Source organism: Homo sapiens, chromosome 2 (assembly GCF_000001405.40).
Source record: "Homo sapiens chromosome 2, GRCh38.p14 Primary Assembly".
Lineage (NCBI taxonomy): Eukaryota > Metazoa > Chordata > Mammalia > Primates > Hominidae > Homo > Homo sapiens.
Genome location: NC_000002.12, coordinates 12608776 through 12629132, shown reverse-complemented (window position 1 = coordinate 12629132; position 20357 = coordinate 12608776). Strand labels below are relative to the sequence as shown.

Genomic DNA, 20357 nt, shown 5'->3' with positions numbered 1-20357 from the left:
GAGGCAAGGGAAACAGGCCCTTGAAAAGAAGGTAATGTGGAGTGGGTAGCCTCCGTATTGATTAAGAAGGGGATGGGCTTACCTTCCACTGTGAGAGTTACCCAAAGCTCGGTGTCCATGATGGTCTAGGGGGCTTCCAAGGCAATCGGGCAGTGTCAGTCTTCAGCCGCTAAGCTGAGAAGATCTGGGAAGGAGTCAGACAGCCTTGGGCCAGAGTTCCAGGGGCTCTGGGAGTGGCTGCCAGGTGAGTTGAACAGTCCAATTTTCAGTGGGGTCCCACACAGATGGGACGCAGCTTAGGAGGAATCCCGGGCTGCGGGCATTCCTTGGCCCAGTGGCCAGATTTCTGGCATGTGTAGCAAGCTCCTGTGGGAGGAGGTTCTGGAGGAATGCCTGGCCGCTGCGGTTCAGGCATTTGGAAGTTCTTGTGTGCTGGAAATGTGGCTGGGGTTTGTCTCACAGTGAAGGCAAGGAGTTGCAACTTTTTTCTATTATTGTACACCTTGAAGGCGAGGTTAATTAAATCCTGTTGTTGGGTTTGGGGGCCAGAATTTAATTTTTGGAGTTTTATTTAATGTCGGGAGCAGATCGGGTAATAAAATGTATTTTGAGAATAAGACGGCCTTTTCACCTTTTAGGGTCTAGGGCTGTAAAGTGTCTCAGGGTTGCTGCCAAACAAGTCATGAACTGGGCTGGATTTTTATATTTGATGAAAAAGAGCCTAAACGCTTCTGATTTGGGATAAAGAAAAAGGAGCATTAACCTTGACTATGCCTTTAGCTCCAGCCACCTTTTTAAGAGTAAATTGCTGGGCAGGTGGGGGAGGGCTAGTCACAGAACGAAACTGTAAGTTGGACCAGGTGTGAGGAGGAGAGGTGATAAAAAGATTATAGGGTGGAGGAGCAGAGGCTGAGGAAGAATTGGGACCTAGCTTGGCCTGGCAAGGAGGGTAGAAGTCAGATGGGTCTGTAGAAAAGGAAGATTAGAAAGACTCAGCGATGCTTGGGGTTGTGACTGAGGGGACAGGAAGGAGGGAAAGAAGGAAGATTTGGGACGGGTTGCACTGGGCACAGAGACTAGGAAGGGACTGATGTGTAAAAGAATGCCTGGACGTCAGGCATCTCAGACCGTTTGCCTATTTTACAACAAGAATTATTTAGATCTTGCAGGATGGAAAAATTCAAAGTGCCATTTTCTGGCTATTTGGAACTACTGTTGAGTTTGTATTGGGGTCAAGCGGCATTGCAGAAGAAAATAAGGCATTTAGGTTTTAGGTCAGGTGTGAGTTGAAGAGGTTTTAAGTTTTTGAGAACACAGGCCAAGGGAGTAGAAGGAGGAATGGAGGGTGGAAGGTTCCCATAGTGAAGAAAGCAAGCCTAGAGAAAAGAGAGAGTAGAGAAATGGAGGGAAGGGGTTCAGGGGTTCTTACCTTCCAGAAAAGTTGGAAAAGGGGTTGGGGTGCAGAGATAAGAGGTTGGGGCATGGAAATAAGGGATGGGGCACAGAAATAAGGGATTGGGGTGCAGAGATACGAGGTTGGGGCACGGAAATAAGGGATTGAGGTGCAGAGATATAAGAGGTTGGGGCGTGGAAATAAGGGATTGGGGCACAGAGATATGAGGTTGGGGTACTTGCGCCTCTAGAAAAGTGGAACTTGCCACTAAGAGTGAAGGAGAAGGGGTTGAGGGGTACTTGCCCCCTCTCCCAAAAAAGCGGGACTTGCCGCTAAGGGTGAAGGAGAAGGGGTTGAGGGGTACTTGCCCCTCCCCCAGAAAAGCAGAGAAGGGGTAGAGACAAGGAGAGAAGGGCTTGGGGTACTTGCCCTGTCCCCGGAAAAGCAGAGAAGGGGTAGAGACAAGGAGAGAAGGCATTGGGGTACTTGCCCCTTCCCCAGAAAAGCAGGACTTGCCGCTAAGGGTGAAGGACCAAGGCAGGTGTCCCTGCATGGTCTGACACCCTTGAAATGTGGGTGTATAATCAGAAAGGCATCCCTGCAATGATTAAACACCAAGGGAAGGCTGCCTTCCCAGTCTGTGACCGGCGCCGGAGTTTTGGGTCCACGGATAAAATGTGTCTCCTTTCTCTCTACCAGAAAATGAAAGGAATTGAAATTAAGAGAAGGGAGAGATTGAAGTGTGGCGCCAAGATTGAAAGGAGAAAGAGGTTGAGGGATAGTGAGGGAGGTTGGAGAAGAGAGTAAAAAGAGGCCGCTTACTGGATTTGAAATTGGTGAGATGTTTCTTGGGCTGGTCGGTTTGAGGACCTGAGGTCATAGGTGGATCTTTCTCACGGAGCAAAGAGTAGGAGTACGGGGGAGGTCCCCCGATCTGAGTCACAGCACCAAATTTCATGAGCATCCGTGTGAAGAGACCACCAAACAGGCTTTGTGTGAGCAACATGGCTGTTTATTTCACCTGAGTGCAGGTGGGCTGAGTCCGAAAAGAGAGTCAGTGAAGGGAGATAAGGGTGGGGCCGTTTTATAGGATTTGGGGAGGTAAAGGAAAATTACAGTCAAAGGAGGTTTGTTCTCTGGCGGGCAGGAGTGGGGGTGGCAAGGTGCTCAGTGGGGGTGCTTTTTGAGCCAGGATGAGCTAGGAAAAGGACTTTCACAAGGTAATGTCATCACTTAAGGCAAGGACTGGCCATTTACCCTTCTTTTGTGGTGGAATGTCATCAGTTAAGGTGGGGCAGGGCATATTCACTTCTTTTGTGATTCTTCAGTTACTTCAGGCCATCTGGGCGTATAGGTGCAAGTCACAGGGGATGTGATGGCTTGGCTTGGGCTCAGAGGCCTGACAGTAGCCTTTCTTTTGTTTTACAAGAGCAGTTTAGGCTTTTGCAAAGGGCTGTTATATAACTATACACTAAATTCCTTCCAAAAGCTAGTTCAGCCTATGCCCAGGAAGGAACAAGGACAGTTTAGAGGTTAGAAGTAAGCTGGGGTCAGTTAGGTCTGTTATCTTCCACTTTCATAATTTTCTCAGTTATGATTTTTGCAAAGGTGGTTTCACATACTCCCATCCATTTTATATTTGAGTAATTCCAGACTCAGAGAAGTTAAGAAATCTTCCCAAGGTCACTCAGCTAGTTGGGGCAGAGGCAGGTGTCTCTAAAATTGGTTTCTCCCTAGTCCATCATGTTCCTTAAAACCTGGGACAGTAACCACATTCTCATATGCAGGTGTACACACACACACACACACACACACACACACACACACACACTTGCGTCTCTGTCAGTGGAGAGTAAAAGACACATGGTAGATTCATGTAATCAAGGATGGGTGAAATCACCATCTATTTTCTTTAACTTCTATGTCATTTCTTCTTTTTCTTATTCTATACCATGTTCCACATGTCCATGTCCTCAGGATAAACCTGTAAGGAAATGTGCTTTTTCAACAGTATATACCTTACTTCCTCCCTGTCCCAGACATTATGTTTAGCAAAGTTACTTGCAAGTCAGTTATAGGTCTAAAAATATGCACTCATGTTGGTTCGCTCTTCTCTTACCCTGGCTGCAGAAACTCACTGGTGCCTGAGTTCAAGGTAGGCTGAATGGTCCCGTCCATAATCTCATTGGTGCCTGAACTCAGGTAGGCTGAGTGGTTCAGCCCATAATCACTAGGTTGACTGATCTCCTGAGAGCAGATCTAAGACCCAATCCTGCTGCCTAGACCTGGAAACTGTGTAGTCAAGCCCTTCCCCAGACTCCCTGGGGAAGGAGTTCCTGCCAGTCAGCTCATTTACATCATAATAACATTCTGTCTTCTGTGTCTTTTTACCTTAAAAAAGAAATGAGTGCTTTTGACAGTCATCCTTCCCTGATGAGATGTCTGTTAAGCTGTCTCTTGTAGACAAAAAGGTACTTTATCACAGTGTTTTACAAACAGGGAAAGAGTTGTCAAGATCCCAATGAAAGTGGTGTCTACTTCTCCAGCTCTGACATTTCATGGGAGAGAAAGGATGTCTGCACCTCTGAAATGCAGCAGCAGCAGCAGTAGCAACAGTGAGCTGAACCAAAGACCTAGGCGGGCGGACACGCCCACAGCAGCACAGGGAAGAAGAGCTTGACTGAAGGCAGTGGGGCTGCCTACCACCCTCTTCAAAACAGGACAGGATGATACAAAGGAAGAGCTCCCCATTGGTCTCAGACTTGGGTTCAAGCTCTGCTTCGACTTACTTAGGAACCTGGGACAAGTCACTAAATCTCTCAGCCTCAGTTTAAATATCTATTCTCATAGAAGGCGAGGACTAAGCCCTCATTTTTTTTATCTTGCCCAAATTCCTATCTACGGGGTCTGGGAATCATGCCCTACAAATCATAAATTCTCATCAAATGGGTTTTATTTAACCCATATATCGTGATTTACTTTCCAGTCCGACTCTGGTATAACATTACGTGACAAAGAAGAAAATCAAAATATTTTACCCCGAAACATGTTTCTTTGCTATATTTTGAAATGGCCTTGCAAAGCTGTCCTCTGTGGGGGAAAATTTGCATGTGTAAATAATCTCTATTACCATAGCTAGGTTTTTTTTTCTTCTGGACACTCCCTAAAATGTATAAAATCAAGCTACACCCTACCCACTCTGGGCACATGTCCTCAGGATCTCCTGAGGGCTGTGTCACAGGCCATGGTCGCTCATATTTGGCTCAGAATAAATCTCTTCAAATGTTTTCTAGAGTTTGAGTTTGACTTTTTCATCGACAAAGGGAAGAGAAACAATCATTTTATCATTTATGAAGAGTCAATGACACGCCAGGCACTCTAGCGGTTATATGTTTATAGATATTACCTCACCATATCTTCACAAACCTAAAAATTGAAGATCATTTCCCTTCCTTTTCAGATATTGTTGATTTTTTTCTTTATAACACCCTATTTGAAAAGCTCCTCTTTGGAACTTTTTCCTCCAACTAGCTTAGAACTCCACATCCAACATGTTCTTATCTTTAATGAGTAAGAGTACAAGAAGCTTAAATTTATTGAGCCTTTCGAGGGTGTCACACACTGTTTGGCACTTTATGTCATCAGTTCATTCTTACAACGGGCCTAGAGGCAAACATTCTTATCCCATTCGTAGAGGAAAAAGGCTCAGAAAGGTGCCATCTCTAAGCTTAGACCAACCCAGTTGGTAATGGCTAGGGTGGGATTCATACTCAAATCTGGTTAACTCTAAAGACTTTGCCCTTTATGCTTGAAGCTCTTTCCACTCTTTTATTTCAGGACTTATAAAACCATTGATAATGTTTCATCATTCTTAATTAACAAAATGATTTTCTAAGTCACGTCACCCAATAATTATTAAAATCTTCTGGAAAATTCTAACTTGTGATAGTGAATTGGTATTGAAATTGACTGTAGTTTGGTTTTTTCACCTAATTATGCTAATTGCTATTTCTAAGCATACTTAGCATTTTGAATTATTTAGGGCAATTACGTCAAACAACATGTTTAATTTGTCATGTCAAGTATAATAATTAGTAATAATTCTTGAAAGGATGTCATTACAAATTTGAGGTATTTACAAGGTATAATTATGTCAAATGTGATAAAACCAAAGAATAATACCAATGCTTATAGAAAAATGTTGCTGCAAATATTTTGAACATTGAATGTTGGGACCATTTTAGACATCCTTGTTGCTCAACCAAAGTCAAATCTGGCGTGGTTTAGTGGCTTGCTTACTAATTAAGATAAGAAAATTGGGTCTTGGATAACAGTTGAACTACTATTTAATCCATCCAAAGTTCCTTCCTTTTTTTCTTAACTGGAGAGTGAATATTAATGGTTTTCCATATTAAATAGTTACACTTTAAAAATGAGTCTGGGGAAACAAGAACAATCCAGAAACAAATGGATTCCTTCCAAATATGGAGATTTCAAGCTAAAGTAAGAGAGTAAGAGGTGAGTTAAGTTAAATGGGCCAACTCTTTCACAGCTGTGTGGTTTGCCAAATCACTGGCGTATTTCATTTTCAATAACCTTTGGTGTAAGTTGGGGATAGCTCATGTTGTTTGCAGAGGGAAATGAGACAGTGCTAAATTGCTTTGTAGTGATAGATGGTTTACCATTGTAAATATTTTCATTATTATTTGAATACCCCAGTCTCAATCAAGAGCACTGGCAGGAAAATAAAAGAATTACATATAGTGCAAGTCCCATCACAGGTGGTAGTAAGCTGTTTATTAGCTGGGTGGTCCTGGACAAGCCATTTTGCCTCTCTAAGCTTCGGTTTCCTCAGCTATAAAATAAAATAATTTCAAAAATGAATTGAGGACAAAATGACCTTCACTTGTTAAGCATTTGGGTTTGCATTAAAGCAGAGTCCTAGAACCACATATTGGAAAGTTGCACCAAGAATCTTGTTCCTCCTCCAACCCTTGCTTCCCAGTTCCTTGGAAAACTAAGTGACTGTGTTTTTTAAGAGCCCTGTCTTTGAGCCTAGATGCCCCTTAGAAACTGAACTTAAATCACTTGCTTGTTAAAGGTTGAAAGTAGACAAAGGACACACATTCTTTCTCCTTTAAGTGTATATTTATATTTAAAAAATATAATTTTAAAAAATATTTTTATAAATTTTTTATATATTATATATATTTATAAATATATATATTTATATTATATATAATATAAATATATATAAATTTTATATATTTTATAAATTTTTCATCAGAAAGAAGAAAGATGATAGTTTATAACAGAGCAATTCTTCTCCTTCCCACCCAAAACTGGTGACGTGGGAGTCCTTTTCTTATTTGTACTATGTGGAGAGTTTTATTTTAGAGTCGTATATTTCCATATGTAAGATTCACACCTGGAGCCAGCATCCTGCTAGTACAATTTCACCTCCAAGAGCCTGTTAAACTCTACTTTTATGTGGCAAGGCTGCCCCCACCCATCTGCCCCTCAGGTGACTGACAAATACCTGTCTGTCTTCCAAGATATATCTCAGGCATTAGCTCTTCTGCAGAATCCTTGTCTAATTTCCTCCTTCAGGGTAAAATTTGTTGTTCTCTTCTTTGTAACTCTAATTTACCTGAATTGTAATCTGTAATAATAACTCTTTCATACTTTTATTATAGATCTCCATTGTCCTTACTTGCTTGGTTTCTTTTGTATTACAATAATTAGAACTCTTTGAAGGATGGAGGCTGTGTCTTGAATATTAGATGAATATCTGGATATTTCCCAGTATCTAGCACTGACCAGGCATATGGTAAAAGTTAAGCGAATGTTTGTTAAATGAGTTAATGAATAAGCTTTGGCACAATGTTTAAAATAAGAGCTAGAAATAGAAATGTTCAGGATTTGAATTCAAACAGAAATGTCATTCACTCATTCATTTATTAATTTTACAATTATTTATTGATCATTGGCTAAGTACCAGGGACTTAGCTAGGATCTGGGGATGTATCATTGAACTAATTTGACACAGATACATTTTCCTTAAATTCTAATGCAGTATTTCTCAAAGTGTAAGTGAGGAATCAGTTGCATCAGAATCAAGGCAGATGGGGTGAGTGGAGTGTAATATATAAATGTTTATATCATGAATATTATAAATGAAGCAAACCATCTGACCTGCTAAATTAGACTCTCTGGATACAAGCCCTGGACTTCTCTTTTTTTTTTTTTTTTTTTTTTTGAGACAGAGTCTCACTTTGTCACCCAGGCTGGAGTGCAGTGGTGCAATCTCGGCTCACTGCAGCCTCCGCCTCCCGGGTTCAAGCGATTCTCCTGCCTCAGCCCCAAATAGCTGGGACTACATGTGCGCACCACCATGCCTGGCTAATTTATTTTTATTTTTATTTTTATTTTTAGTAGAGATGGGGTTTCACCATGTTGACAAGGCTGGTCTCTAACTCTTGACCTCAGGTGATCCACCCTCCTCGGCCTCCCAGTGTTGGAATTACAGGCGTGGGTCACCGCACCCGGCCAGATTTCCCATTTTTAATGAAGAGTTAATTCTTATTTTTCTTAAAGTTTTTGAATTATTGAATTTCATATTGACTTAGTTACATGCTAAGAGTGTGAATTTGGAGTAGTTACTGAATGTCTCAGAACCCCAATTTCCCCATCTGTGTAATGGAACCAGCGCTACCCAACCACAGAATTTAGTGGTGAGGACTACAAGTCCTCTCTCTAAGGTGATTCCTAGGTGTCTAGTTAAAGTTCAGTTATCATTTCAAAGGAAATGATGCCGCAGTTTCCTGTGCTCCTGGAAATGCCCTGAATATGTGATTTTTAAAAAATCAAATCTTAGTTTAACTACAACCACAAAGATCTCTGTTTAAAATGAACAACCACTACATAGATTGTCAGCTTTGTCAGTTTAGATCTCACATAATGTATTTTCAACTCAGTCTGACGATTATCCAAGTACCCCCTCTAATGCATGTGAACAAAGACGCTAAGGTGAAGTCCTTGACTTCCAGCCCCTCAGGATCACATGGGGATATAGGCCTGTATACAGCAGTCACAGTCCACCTAGAGTAACAAATCCTTTGGAGTCTTATAGGAAGTTGACTATTTAGGGATAGAAGGTGGAGAGGCTGACCAGAGGCACAGAGAGGCAATATAGAAATTGGGAAGCTCAAGGAACTGCTTCCATGCCTTGGCGGGGAGAATGAAGAGGAGGGTGGTGTAACCAGATCCCATGAGCTGAGGGTCACCTGGCACCAACTGCCATCAGCTTGAGCTTCCCAGGCCAGGCAATGTGAGGGTGAAGCTGGAGAGTGAGCTGCTTCCTGACACCTTTTGAGGCAGAGAGAGTAGGAGACAAATGTTCCAGCATATCCTACTACTCATCCTTCTGTGTCTCTTGCCATTGCCTCATGTTGACCCAACCCACACTGAGTCAGCTGAATGAGAACCTGGGAAGTGAAGTCCTGGTGGGGTCAGACCTCCTGGGGAAGCCCAGGATTGACAGGTGTGGGAGATTCACTGAGCGGCACTGAGCACTCAGACAGTGGTGTAAAGGCCACAAGAGAGAAAGAACAGCCATGCCCCATGGGAACCAGGCTGGCTGCCAGACAGAGCCTTACAAATGGACAGAAATGCGATGAGATCACCGTGGTTTGGCATCTTCTCCACAAAGTCTCAAGTTGAGAGATTGTATTTTGCCAAAGTGCCCTTTAGTGATCAGACTCAGCTTCTCAACCCTGCTGATCAATCAAACCTGTAGGCAATGGAAGCAGAAACCCAGATTCCATATCGTTGGTTTACCATGAGAAATACCCATATGAGGACACTCATGACTAATGTTTTCTAGTCTCTCTTTAGTGACAGGTATTTGGGAAGCTAAATGACAATTAGAATATGTTTCATGAATCTGGAAAGAGGTTGAGGAAGGGGTGAAAGTCTTAAAACTTAGAGTAATTCAGTTACATTTCCTCGGTAGGTCTACTGCATTTCATCTTACCTAGGGTACCACAAAGTGCAAAAAACACCATCATTTTATGCACCATGGAGAAGCAGGAGGAAGAAGAGGAAGAAGAGAGGGAGGAGGGAGAAAATACTCTCTTTACACGATCAAACAATGCTTCCTTATCACTTCACATTTTTGTATTAAACTTATTGAAAGAGCTCCTTTATAGTGTTTTAGACAGCAGTGAAAACAACGTGAACAGCTATGGCCAAGCTCATGAGTGCACAGTGACCATGACCATGACAACATGATTACCATCTTGCTGACAGTAATGTTAGAACTCCCTCGCTTCGGATGCATCTAAATTTAGGAGATGTTAAATGTTAAAACAAAAATGTGCATAATAGACCTGATAGAGTATGGTAACTTCAAGAGGTAGGAATGGTCTTGTCAGTTCCTTAAGTTTCTCTTGAACTGAAGATATTTCATGTTATGCTTTCTTGATTTTGCTCGTAGATTCTTTTTGAGTCCAGCCTCCAGAGAGAGAACTCCTTGTTCTGACCATACAGAAGGAGTCAATGCGAATAGTTAGATTTCACTTTCCTTAGGTGAAATCACACTTGATTATCTGTGATTCGATTGGGTATCATCAAATCCCCTTGGCTGTGTATTTATAGAACCACACTTAAGCTGCCACTAGAGATGATTTATATTACCCATAATATTTTAAAATCATAATTGCACTAAGAAATGTTTGTGATGTTTTACTATCAGCAGTATAAAGGAAGATCTGTTGAGTATTTTTCATTTATAAGCATCTTACAGCTTAAAATGTTTTATTTCTTACATTTTCTTATTTGACCCTCATGATAAAGTTGTAAGGAGACCAGGACATCTAATATTACATTGTTCTTATTATGTTCTTTTAACAAATGAGGAAGCAAAGAATCTGCAAGATTAAGTAATTTTCCAAAGTTTACACTAACAGTAAAAAATGCAGCTGGGACTCATAACTCCAAGTCCTATTTAATTTCCACCACAGTCTCATACCATAATGTGTTTTGGAAACAAAAAATGGGTAATATATTAATTTTAGTTTGGGTATCTGGAGGTTTGGTTGGCAGTTCTCTCAGGAAAATGTATGACTTGAACTAGGTTATCTTCAAACAAATTGTATCAGTATTCAAATTTAAGAAGAAAAGATGGGTTTTCATTTCACATGAATATGCATTTTAAATAAGAAAGGGTTTCAGTGTCTCTGGTCACATTTGAGGAGCAGTTAATGGCTGAGAGCTATGCTATCATTTCATAATATGTACCAGTGAATTTTGTTTTACTGTTCTGAGATATTGAACAAAATATACTGATTTAGATGCTTATAATTTGGTAATAAACTACCCCAACATTTAGTGTCTTAAGATAACACCCATGATTTATTCTGTCTCATTTTTTATTTTCTCTTTGCAATGGTTAATTTAGCTCTGTATAGTGTCAGCTGGGTCACTCATGGGTTTATGTTCAGCTGGTGTTGGGCTTGCCAGGAATGTAAAGATGGTTTCACACACCTGGGGGCTTGAAACTGGCTCTCAGGTGAGGGCTTCTTTCTGCTGCAGGTAGCTTGCCCTCCCCATGTGGTTTCTCCTGCAGTATGGTGAATCCACTTTACATGACGTCATAGAGTTCCAAGAGAGTGGAAACCACCAGCCCTCTGTAGGGTTAGGCCCCAAATTGGCATCGTGTCCCCTCTGCTGCATTCTATTAGTCAAAGCAGGTCAGGCTGGGTCAGATTCAATGGAAAGGAAAATACATTCCACTTCTGAAGGGAGGAATGGCAGGCAAGTATAGGGAAGGGAAGAGTTGTTGGCAACTCTCTTTGGAAACCACCTGTATCAATATTCTAAGTGAATTGCTCAGGAATTATGTCAAACAGAATAATCACTTCTCAGAGATGCCAAAGGTTCTTGCCAAAGAACAAGATCCATGAGATTTTGGTGAAGTACAGATGGTTAAGAAGACCAGTAACTGGCTGTGATGTCTGCTATCTTCCAGCCATATTCTCACTAGGTGCTAGGCTGGCAAGGCAGAGTGGTTAAGGCCAAGAGTTCTGGAAGTGGCAGAGCAGGGGAATTTGTTTAATATCAACAATACTCTGTCCCTGAAAATTCTCCCAGGCCTCAGAGGGAACACATGCCTACCCTTTTGCACTTCTGCTTTTTTTTTTTTTTTAATTAACTTCTTCCGGTTTCACCTTGAACTTGGCTGTGATCAAAAATTGTTGCCTGTGACGAGTCTTCATGAAACCTGCAATTAGAATCCTGGCCCTGCAATTTAGTAGCTGTCTGATGTTGGGTAAACCCGTGGACTCTTCTGAACATCATGTTCCTGGGTTTTAACTTGATAGCAATCATGTTTTCCATGGGGATAAATCAATAGTACTTTTCTTTCTTATTTCTTCCACTTTTCCTTCCTTCTTTTCTTCATCAATAACTCTGCATAGTTTTATGTGATGTTTTTAAAGCCCTTGCATTTGACTTTGATAGGTTTCAAATATAAGCAAGGTTTCCAGTACACATAGAGAATATAATATATATGTTTTATGAATAGATAAATGACCAAATGAATGAACTTAAAAAGGCATTTTAGCTTCTATTCAAAGAGGTGTGTTTTTTGAGTAATGTGGGAACATATACCCAAATCTGTTATAAATGATGACACAATGAGGCAAGGATATTCTGAGGTCTTTACTCAGTCCTGAGACATTGTATCATTGTCAAAAGAGGACCTTGGTTATTCATCTGGTCCTTCAGCCTGAAAAGAGGAAGGGATTGCTCACACAGAAATTAAAGATCCCTAGAAAAGGGAACCCATGATATAAAGTCAATCATACTGAGTAATATGGTTTGACTGTGTCCCCAACCAAAGCTCATCTTGAATTGTAACTCCCATAATTCCCATGTGTTGTGGGAAGGACCGGGTGGGAGATAATTAAATCACAGGGGCAGTTTTCCCCATACTGTTTTTGTGGTAGTGAATAAGTCTCATGAGATCTGATGGTTTTATAAGGGGAAACCCCTTTCTCTTGGTTCCCTCATTCTCTCTGTGCCTGACCCATGTAAGACGTGCCTTTCACCTTCTGCCATGATTGTGAGGCCTCCCCAGCCATGTGGAACTGTGAGTCCTGTAAACCTCTTTTCCTTTAAAAATTACCCAGCCTCAGGTATGTCTTTATCAGCAGCATGAAAACAAATGAATACACTGAGGAAAGCAGTGTTAGGGTGGGTAAAAAAGTGCACCCCAAAATCCACCCACCTAGGATCATACCTCTGCTTTGCTTCTTCCTACTTGATTTCCAGCATTGGGGTGAGGAGTGGCAGCAGGGGTACAGAGAAGGTAGAACTTTCTATGTGTGTGTGCGCAGCATGAATAAGCGTCAGGCACCTGATTCTACTCTTCCTTCCTCCAGCTGCCAAAATTGAATGCCTCCTTAAAAATGGAAGTGTTAAAATTATATATATTGGGTAAAATAATTGTCTTGACACACAAACCAATTACTCTATCTGGTATTTATTTTATTTTATTTATTTTCCAAATAAAATAGTGATCTGTGTTATTGCTGAATTGGAAAAGTAAAAAGGCAGCTATGCTGGAGTTACTAAGGGACATGCCAGTGTCTGCCATGGCACCTTCGTAAGTGATTTTCAAGGGTATTTGACTGTATTTAATTTGCCACCTATATTAACTTTATAACCCTATTCCCACATGAAATGTGTCCTTATTATATGCCCCAAGAGGGACACAGAGTAAGCCTCTTGCAGTGGATATGTTGTATTGGACTTCACTTAGTGAGTGCTTAATACCTACTTGGCACCCCACCAAGCCCTTTGCAACCATTCCTTGCAATCCTTGTGACATCCTTGGCAGTAGATATTATTACTCCCATTAAATAAAGAAATGCAGAGAAGACAGCCATCCTGCCAGGTATGGCTTAGCCAGTAAAGGGCAGAACCAGATTCTAGCCTCGCTCTTTCATGACCCATGTTTATTTTCTCTTTCTCACTGATTCCTAGAAGCTCAGAGTTATACTAAGAGACTACCATCTGCCTTATGACTCAGTCTGGGCTTCCTTTATTAGGTCTCCTAAGAAGTTTTCTCTTCTGTGAAATGGGAGTTTGGAACTCCTAATTTTAACATGTGCAACTCTGGTATACACAAAGCAGGCTGGGTGCTTGGGACCACAGGATGGGTCACCGCAGGTAGGTACAACCGCAGGCAATGCTCTTGACCAGTGTACAGGCCTTTGCAGGTCTTCTGATGAATCTTCTGTTGTCCTGCTTATCTTCCCCAAGAACAAGAGTAGTGGAAAACACGGTAGAGGTAGCAGCTGTGTGTACTGTATGCCCGATGCATTTTGAATATCATGTAACAGAGCTGGTAAGAGCATGTAGACATCAAATCCATTATTTCCTTTCACTGCACTGCTTGTTGAAAATATTAAATTTAATATCATTCCACTTTATCCTTGACTACATCCAAAGACCAGGCTTTGGGCCGAAGCCTGCCCTGGCTTCAGAGGAGGGATTTGTTTGTGCATCCTGTTTATGCCAGAGATGGTTTGCTATTTACACTTAAAAGATACAATGTGTTTGTCAGGCTGGTGGGCGCACACACATGGCTGAGAGAAACCAGAGACTCTGTTGCTGATAAATGCAAGTGTCATGGTGAGGCAGGAGGCAGGACTTGACTCTGGAGTCAGGGCTTGGACACCAGACCCAATTGAGGACTAGCTGAAACAGGGACAGCATGGAAGCAGCTTTGCATAAGACATGACCACCTGTGTGCCATGTCAGTTTATCATTGCTGTGGACATACCTGTAAGCTACTGCCTCCTTCTATGGCAATGACCCACCAACATGGAATTTACCATCCTTTTTCTAGAAATGTCTGCATAATTGACCCCTTAATTCACATATAATTAAAAGTGAGTATAAATATGAGGGCAGATCTTCCTCTGAGCTGCTGCTCCAGACACACTGCCTATAGGGTAGCCCCACTCCATAGGAGCAGTCCCTCTGCTGTTGTGCATGGTGCATGGCCACTTTAATAGAAATTGCTGTCTAACACCACTGGCTCACCCATGAATTTTTCCTGGGCACAGCAAAGAACCCTCCTGGGCTAAGTCCCAGTTTTGGGGTTCACCTGCCCTGTATCAATGGGATCACAAGGTTAGCGTCAAGATTAGTGACAATTCAGTCAAACTCCCCTTCCTGCAGAAAACATTAGTGACCCTGAGCTAGTGGTCTGAGTCTGAACTCTTTAAGGAATTTAATCGGTATCTTCAGGGGTGCTCCAGCTACAATTCCATCCTCAGGTCCATTTCTAGCCATTCTAGATTTCTTATTTCCGAGCAGAGAAACTTTCATTTGCCATTATTGCTTTTGCACTTGCCTTGTTGTATAAAATACTCCTTTCTTTTTTTTTCTTTTTCTTTTTTTTTTTGGCCATCCCATTCTTTTTAGACTGATACACTCCTGTTCTTTCTCAAAGTCCAGCTCAAATGCCATCTTCCTGCCCGTCTACTGAAGGGTCAGAGCTAACTGTTCTTTCCCTGGGCTGCCACCATCATTGACTTATATGTGCTTTAGTGCATATGAATTATTTTGTAAGGCATCAATTTCTATTTATCCCTTCACTTTCACAGTGAGTTTTTCAAGGTCAGGGTTAATGCCTTATTCACATTTTCACTTGCTCACACAGTGCCCATCACGGTTTGTAGAACATAGAGGCTACTTAGAAAATATTTGCTGAAGATACATACATCAAATATGTAAAAATGTTCACATATTTAATGTGTGTATTTCCTGCTTTGTTCAGATACCACTTAAAGTATATTTAAAGATGGGTAAAACGCAAAATGAGAAAGAGAGAAGAGAGAGAAGAGAAAAATAGGACAGACAGAAAGGGGAAGTTTGGAAATAATGAATGACAGAGCTGTAAGGTCCAGGTGTCTGGCTCTAGCCTTGGGTGACTGCTCCACAAGGCTTTGTGCTGTCTCTTATCCTTAGGGTGAATGTGCAGAGGCATGAGGAAAGAAGCAAGTACCAGGATTTGCTTTTATTTTGCCATAAGCGTGGGAAGGGCAGGGTGAGGCTTCCAGGCCTGCCAGCATTTCAGGGTAAAGGTCCCTGGTCTACCCCATTAGCAAACCTCACAGCTTCGGCACATTCCATAGCGACCACTGGTCTCTGGCTGAGGTGGAGGAAGCCTAACACCCCCTTTCCCCTGTTCTTACTTTATAGTTGAATGTACGACGCTTTTGTTTTGTTTCTACAGCTTCCTGCTCTGTCCATCTGTCCTTAGGCCAGCTCCACCTGTGTGTTTCTGGTAGCCAGCTGTGCCTTCCAAGTGCTGAAAAACATACACCAAGACGCCAGAAAGAGCTGCCTTTCCTCCCACTGTAACACAGTTATGAGGGACACTGTTAGGTAGGGAGGGACTTTTCGGTCCACTGAGTTCTCTTCAGCTAAGCTGTCATTGTTTTTCCTTCAGGCTGTCTAGCTGTTATGCCAACCAGAACAACAAGCATAGCTGTTTAACATGCATATCCTGTGTCTTATTTTGGACAATTTAATCAATATTTCATCAGAAAATTGTTTTATAGCCCTTTGGAAATGTGATGTTTAAAAGGCTGATTGCATTTTTAAGTAGATTGGTTCTTCAAGCCCATACTACTTATTTTTATTTACAGTAAGCTAAACATATTTACAACAGAATTTGATAAGTTCTGACATATGCATATATCCATAAAACCATCAACACAATCAAGATAATGAATACATCCATCACCCTTCAAAAGTTTCCTAGTGTCCCCCTGTAATCCTTCCTTCCTGATTCTCTTTGTATTCCAGACAATGATGATGTGTGTTCTCTCCCTACACGAGTTCACATTTCCTGGAGTGTTATCTAAATGAAATCATACAGTATGAGCTCTTCTTTCATCTGCCTTCTTTAACTTAGCATAATTATTTTTAACAATATTAGTTACATTTAGCAAATGTAGCAATATTTGGTTCTTTATATTCCGTTTTATAAATCTACCACAATTTGTTTATCTATTCATCTATTGTCTATTGACATTTGGGTTATTTCCAGATTTGGTCTATTACAAACGATGCAGCTATGAAAATTTTGAACATGGCTTTGTATGAATATATACCTCTTTTTCTTTTGGGTGAATTATTAAGAGCAGAATGTGTTTAATGTACATGTATATTTAGCTTTTTAAGAACTTATCAAACCGTTTTTTAAAGTGGCTTTAACATTTACATTACACCAGCAGTATATGAGAGTGCTATATCTTCTCCAACTCTCGATATGGTCATACTTTTTAATTTAGCACTTCCCACAGTCATGTAGTGGTATCTCAATGTGGTTTTAATATTCATTTCCTTAATGATTAATAAGACAGAGCTTATTTTCATGTGGTTATTTTTTGTGTGCTTATATCTTCTTTATTGAAGTGTCTATTCAAATATTTGGCCTTTTTTTAAGTTTTCTTATTGTATTTTAAAAGTTATGTATTCTGATACAAGCCCTTTGTCAGATATATGCTTTGTAAATATTTTTTCTCATCTTTGTGTTTCTTTTTTAATTTTCTTAACGTCTTTCAAAGAGCAGCAATTTTTAACTTTGGTGAAGTTCAAGTAATCAATTTATTCTTTTATAGATCCTAGTTTTAGTATCATGTATTTTCCTGACCTGACCTGACAGAGAATTTCTTCTAGAATTTTGATAGTTTTCACTTTTATAATACATCAAGGTCTATACTTTATCTTGAGTTATTTCTACATATGGTGAAATATGTAGATCTAAGTTTATTTTATTTTATTTTTGCATATGGATATCAAATCATTACAGTGTCATTTCTTAAAAAGACTATTCTTTCTCTACTGAACTGCTCTTGCATGCTGAAAATCCATTATCCAAATATATAGGGGTCAATTTCTGAAGTCCCTATTCTGTTCTATTGATCTGTCTTTCTGTATATTTGCACTAATACCACACTGTCTGGATAACTGCATTTTTATAATAAGTATTAAATTCAGGGAGTGGTAGTCTTTCAAATTTATTCTGCTTTTAAAATTTGTTTTGGCAATTATTGGTCCTTTGCAGTTTTATATGAATTTTGAAATCAATATGTTGATTACTACTAAAATATTTTTGGGGGTTTTGATTGGATTGCTTTGAATCTACAGGGTAATTTGGGAACAAATTTATGTTTTAATAATATTGAGTCTTCTGACCTATGAACAAGGTGTATCTCTCTACTTATTTAGATCCTCTTTATCTGTGCAATGTTTTAATTTTCAGTATAGAGGACTTTCATATATTTTATAATTATCATTATGAAACTATTTTTGTCATTTCTAGCAATATCATTTTCTCTAAAATCTACTTTGGTATTAACATAGCCAAAACAGCTTTATTTTGAGGAGTGTTAACATGATATATCTTCTTCTATCCTTTCACATTTAACTTATTTATGTTTTTACATTTAAACTGTATTTTCTTAAAGGCAGCATATATCTTACTATGTTTTTTTCATAAAATATGACAATTTCTGTCTTTCAGTGCAGTTTTCTAAACTATTTAAATTTAAGGCACTTATTTCTATAGTTAGGTTCAAGTCTAGCATCTTGCTATTTAAAAAAAATTCTGTTTTTTTGTTCCCATTTTCTTCTTTCTCTGCTTTTAGTTTGGATTAATTGTGCATTTTTGGGGATTCAATTTTATCTCTTCTGCCTGCTTAGCTATAACTCATTGTTTTGTTATTTTAGTGGCTGCTTTAAGATTTAACTTATCACATTTGACCTAAAGATAATATTTACTACTTCACATGTGGTATAAGAACCTTAACAAAATGTTTTCATTTCTCCTGTCTGAGACTTTATATATTTTACTTACGCATGTTATTATGTATACTATTATTTTTATTAACAATCAATTATCTTGTAAAGAGATTTAAATGCTAAAAAGTTTATACTTCCCCATGTAGTAGTCATTTTTAGGCCACTGATTCCTCTGTCTAGACTTATATTTGCATGTGACATTATTTTCCTTCTGTCCAAAAGACTCCTTTTAACATTTTTAGTGTATGTGTCTGCTGGTGATGAGGCTTTCTACTCATTTATTTCTGAAAGCATTTTGTTTCCTTTTTGTCTTTTGAAAGATATTTTTGCTGAGTATAGAATTTATGGTGGAAAATATTTTTCCTATCAGTAATTTAAAGATGTTGTTGGCTCCATTGTCTTCTTGCTTGTATTATTTCTGATAAGAAATATGCTTTCATTTTTTTCTTTGTTCCTGTGTATAAAATGCAACTTATTTTTTTCTGGCTGTTTTAAGGTTTTTCTCTTAATGGATGGTTTTGCACAATTTGGTGACAATATGCATCAGTGTAGTTTTCTTCACATTTCCTAGATTTATAGGTTTGTAATTTCATCAATTTTGAAAATGTTTTGGCAAATTTGTCTTTGTATATCTTTTCTGTTCCCTCTGCTTTTTTTTCCCCCTTCTACTCAAGGGACTTCAAACTATATATTGAGCTGCTTAAAGTAGTCCTATACGTCACTAACATTCTTTTTTTATTTTAATTTTTTAAATTAGACTTCTTTCAGTGGTTCATTTTATTTTTTATATTGCTATTTCTTTAAATTTACTAATCCTTTCTTCCAAATTTTTTAGTCTGACATTAATCTTATCCAAAGTACTTTCATATCACACATTATCATGTTCCTTCTACAAGTTCGATTTGCTTTTTTTTTTTTTTTTTGAGACGGAGATCTTGCTCTGTCCTCAGGCTGGAGTGCAGTGGTGCGATCTGGGCTCACTGCAACCTCCGCCCCCCTTGTTGAAGTTTCTGTCTCGTAATAACTGTGTTCTTTTTTGGGGGGGTGGGGGGCGGGGGACGGAGTCTCGCTCTGTTGCCCAGGCTGGAGTGCAGTGGCGCGATCTCGGCTCGCCGCAAGCTCCGCCTCCCGGGTTCATGCCATTCTCCTGCCTCAGCCTCTCGAGTAGCTGGGACTACAGGTGCGCGCCACCAGGCCCGGCTAACTTTTTTGTATTTTAGTAGAGACGGGGTTTCACGATGTTGGCCAGGATGGTCTCGATCTCCTGACCTTGTGATCCACCCACCTCGGCCGACCAAAGTGCTGGGATTACAGGCGTGAGCCACTGCGCCTGGCCAACTTGCCTTTTTTTAAAAATAATCTTCTATGTCTTTACTTAAGCCTATGAATATATGGACTGCATGTATAATGACTGCTTGAATGTCATTGTTTGCTAATTCTAACATATGTGTCAGTTCTGGATCAGAATCTTTGATTTGATACCCAATATTATAAATTTTACCTTGTTGAATGCTGGGTTTTTTAAAAAATCATAATATTCTTGAGATTTATGCTAGGATGCCATTTTTACTTGGGAAAAGTTTGCCCCTTTAGAGTCTTGCTTTTATCATTTGTTAGGAAGACCCAGAGCATTTTAGAGCTAATTACTTTCCATTATTGAAGCAAGATTTTCCTGAGTATTCTACGCAATGTCCAGGGAATAATGAGATTCTTCAATCTGGTTGGTGGAAACAGGCAGTATTTCCAGACCTGTATGAGTGCTGAGTACTCTTTCTTTTCATCTTTTGGATGGTTCTTGCTCCAGCCTTGGTGCATGGCTTGGTCAGTATTCTGCTGAAAATGTAAGAGGGTCCCAGCCTTGGTGCATGGCTTGGTCAGTATTCTGCTGAAAATGTAAGAGGGTCCCTTGCATTTCTCCAGGATTCTTTCTATATATGATTTTCTTCTCTTCAGTACTTTGTTCCACAAACTCTAGGTTCCTTGGTATCCCTGAAATCTCAGCTTTGTTTCTTCATCCATGGAGTCCACCCGGTTCTTCCTTGGTGTTCTCCCTCTGCATCATGGTCTGCAGACTCTC

At 39.9% G+C, this 20357-nt stretch overlaps 1 annotated feature.

The window, feature by feature from the left end:
- Positions 2360 to 2924: an enhancer, noted in NCBI's record as "OCT4-NANOG hESC enhancer chr2:12766335-12766899 (GRCh37/hg19 assembly coordinates)". NCBI's record gives its function as "activates a minimal SCP1, AML or CMV promoter by ChIP-STARR-seq in naive H9 embryonic stem cells {active_cell/tissue: H9 hESC(naive)}" and the evidence as "EXISTENCE:reporter gene assay evidence [ECO:0000049][PMID:30033119]".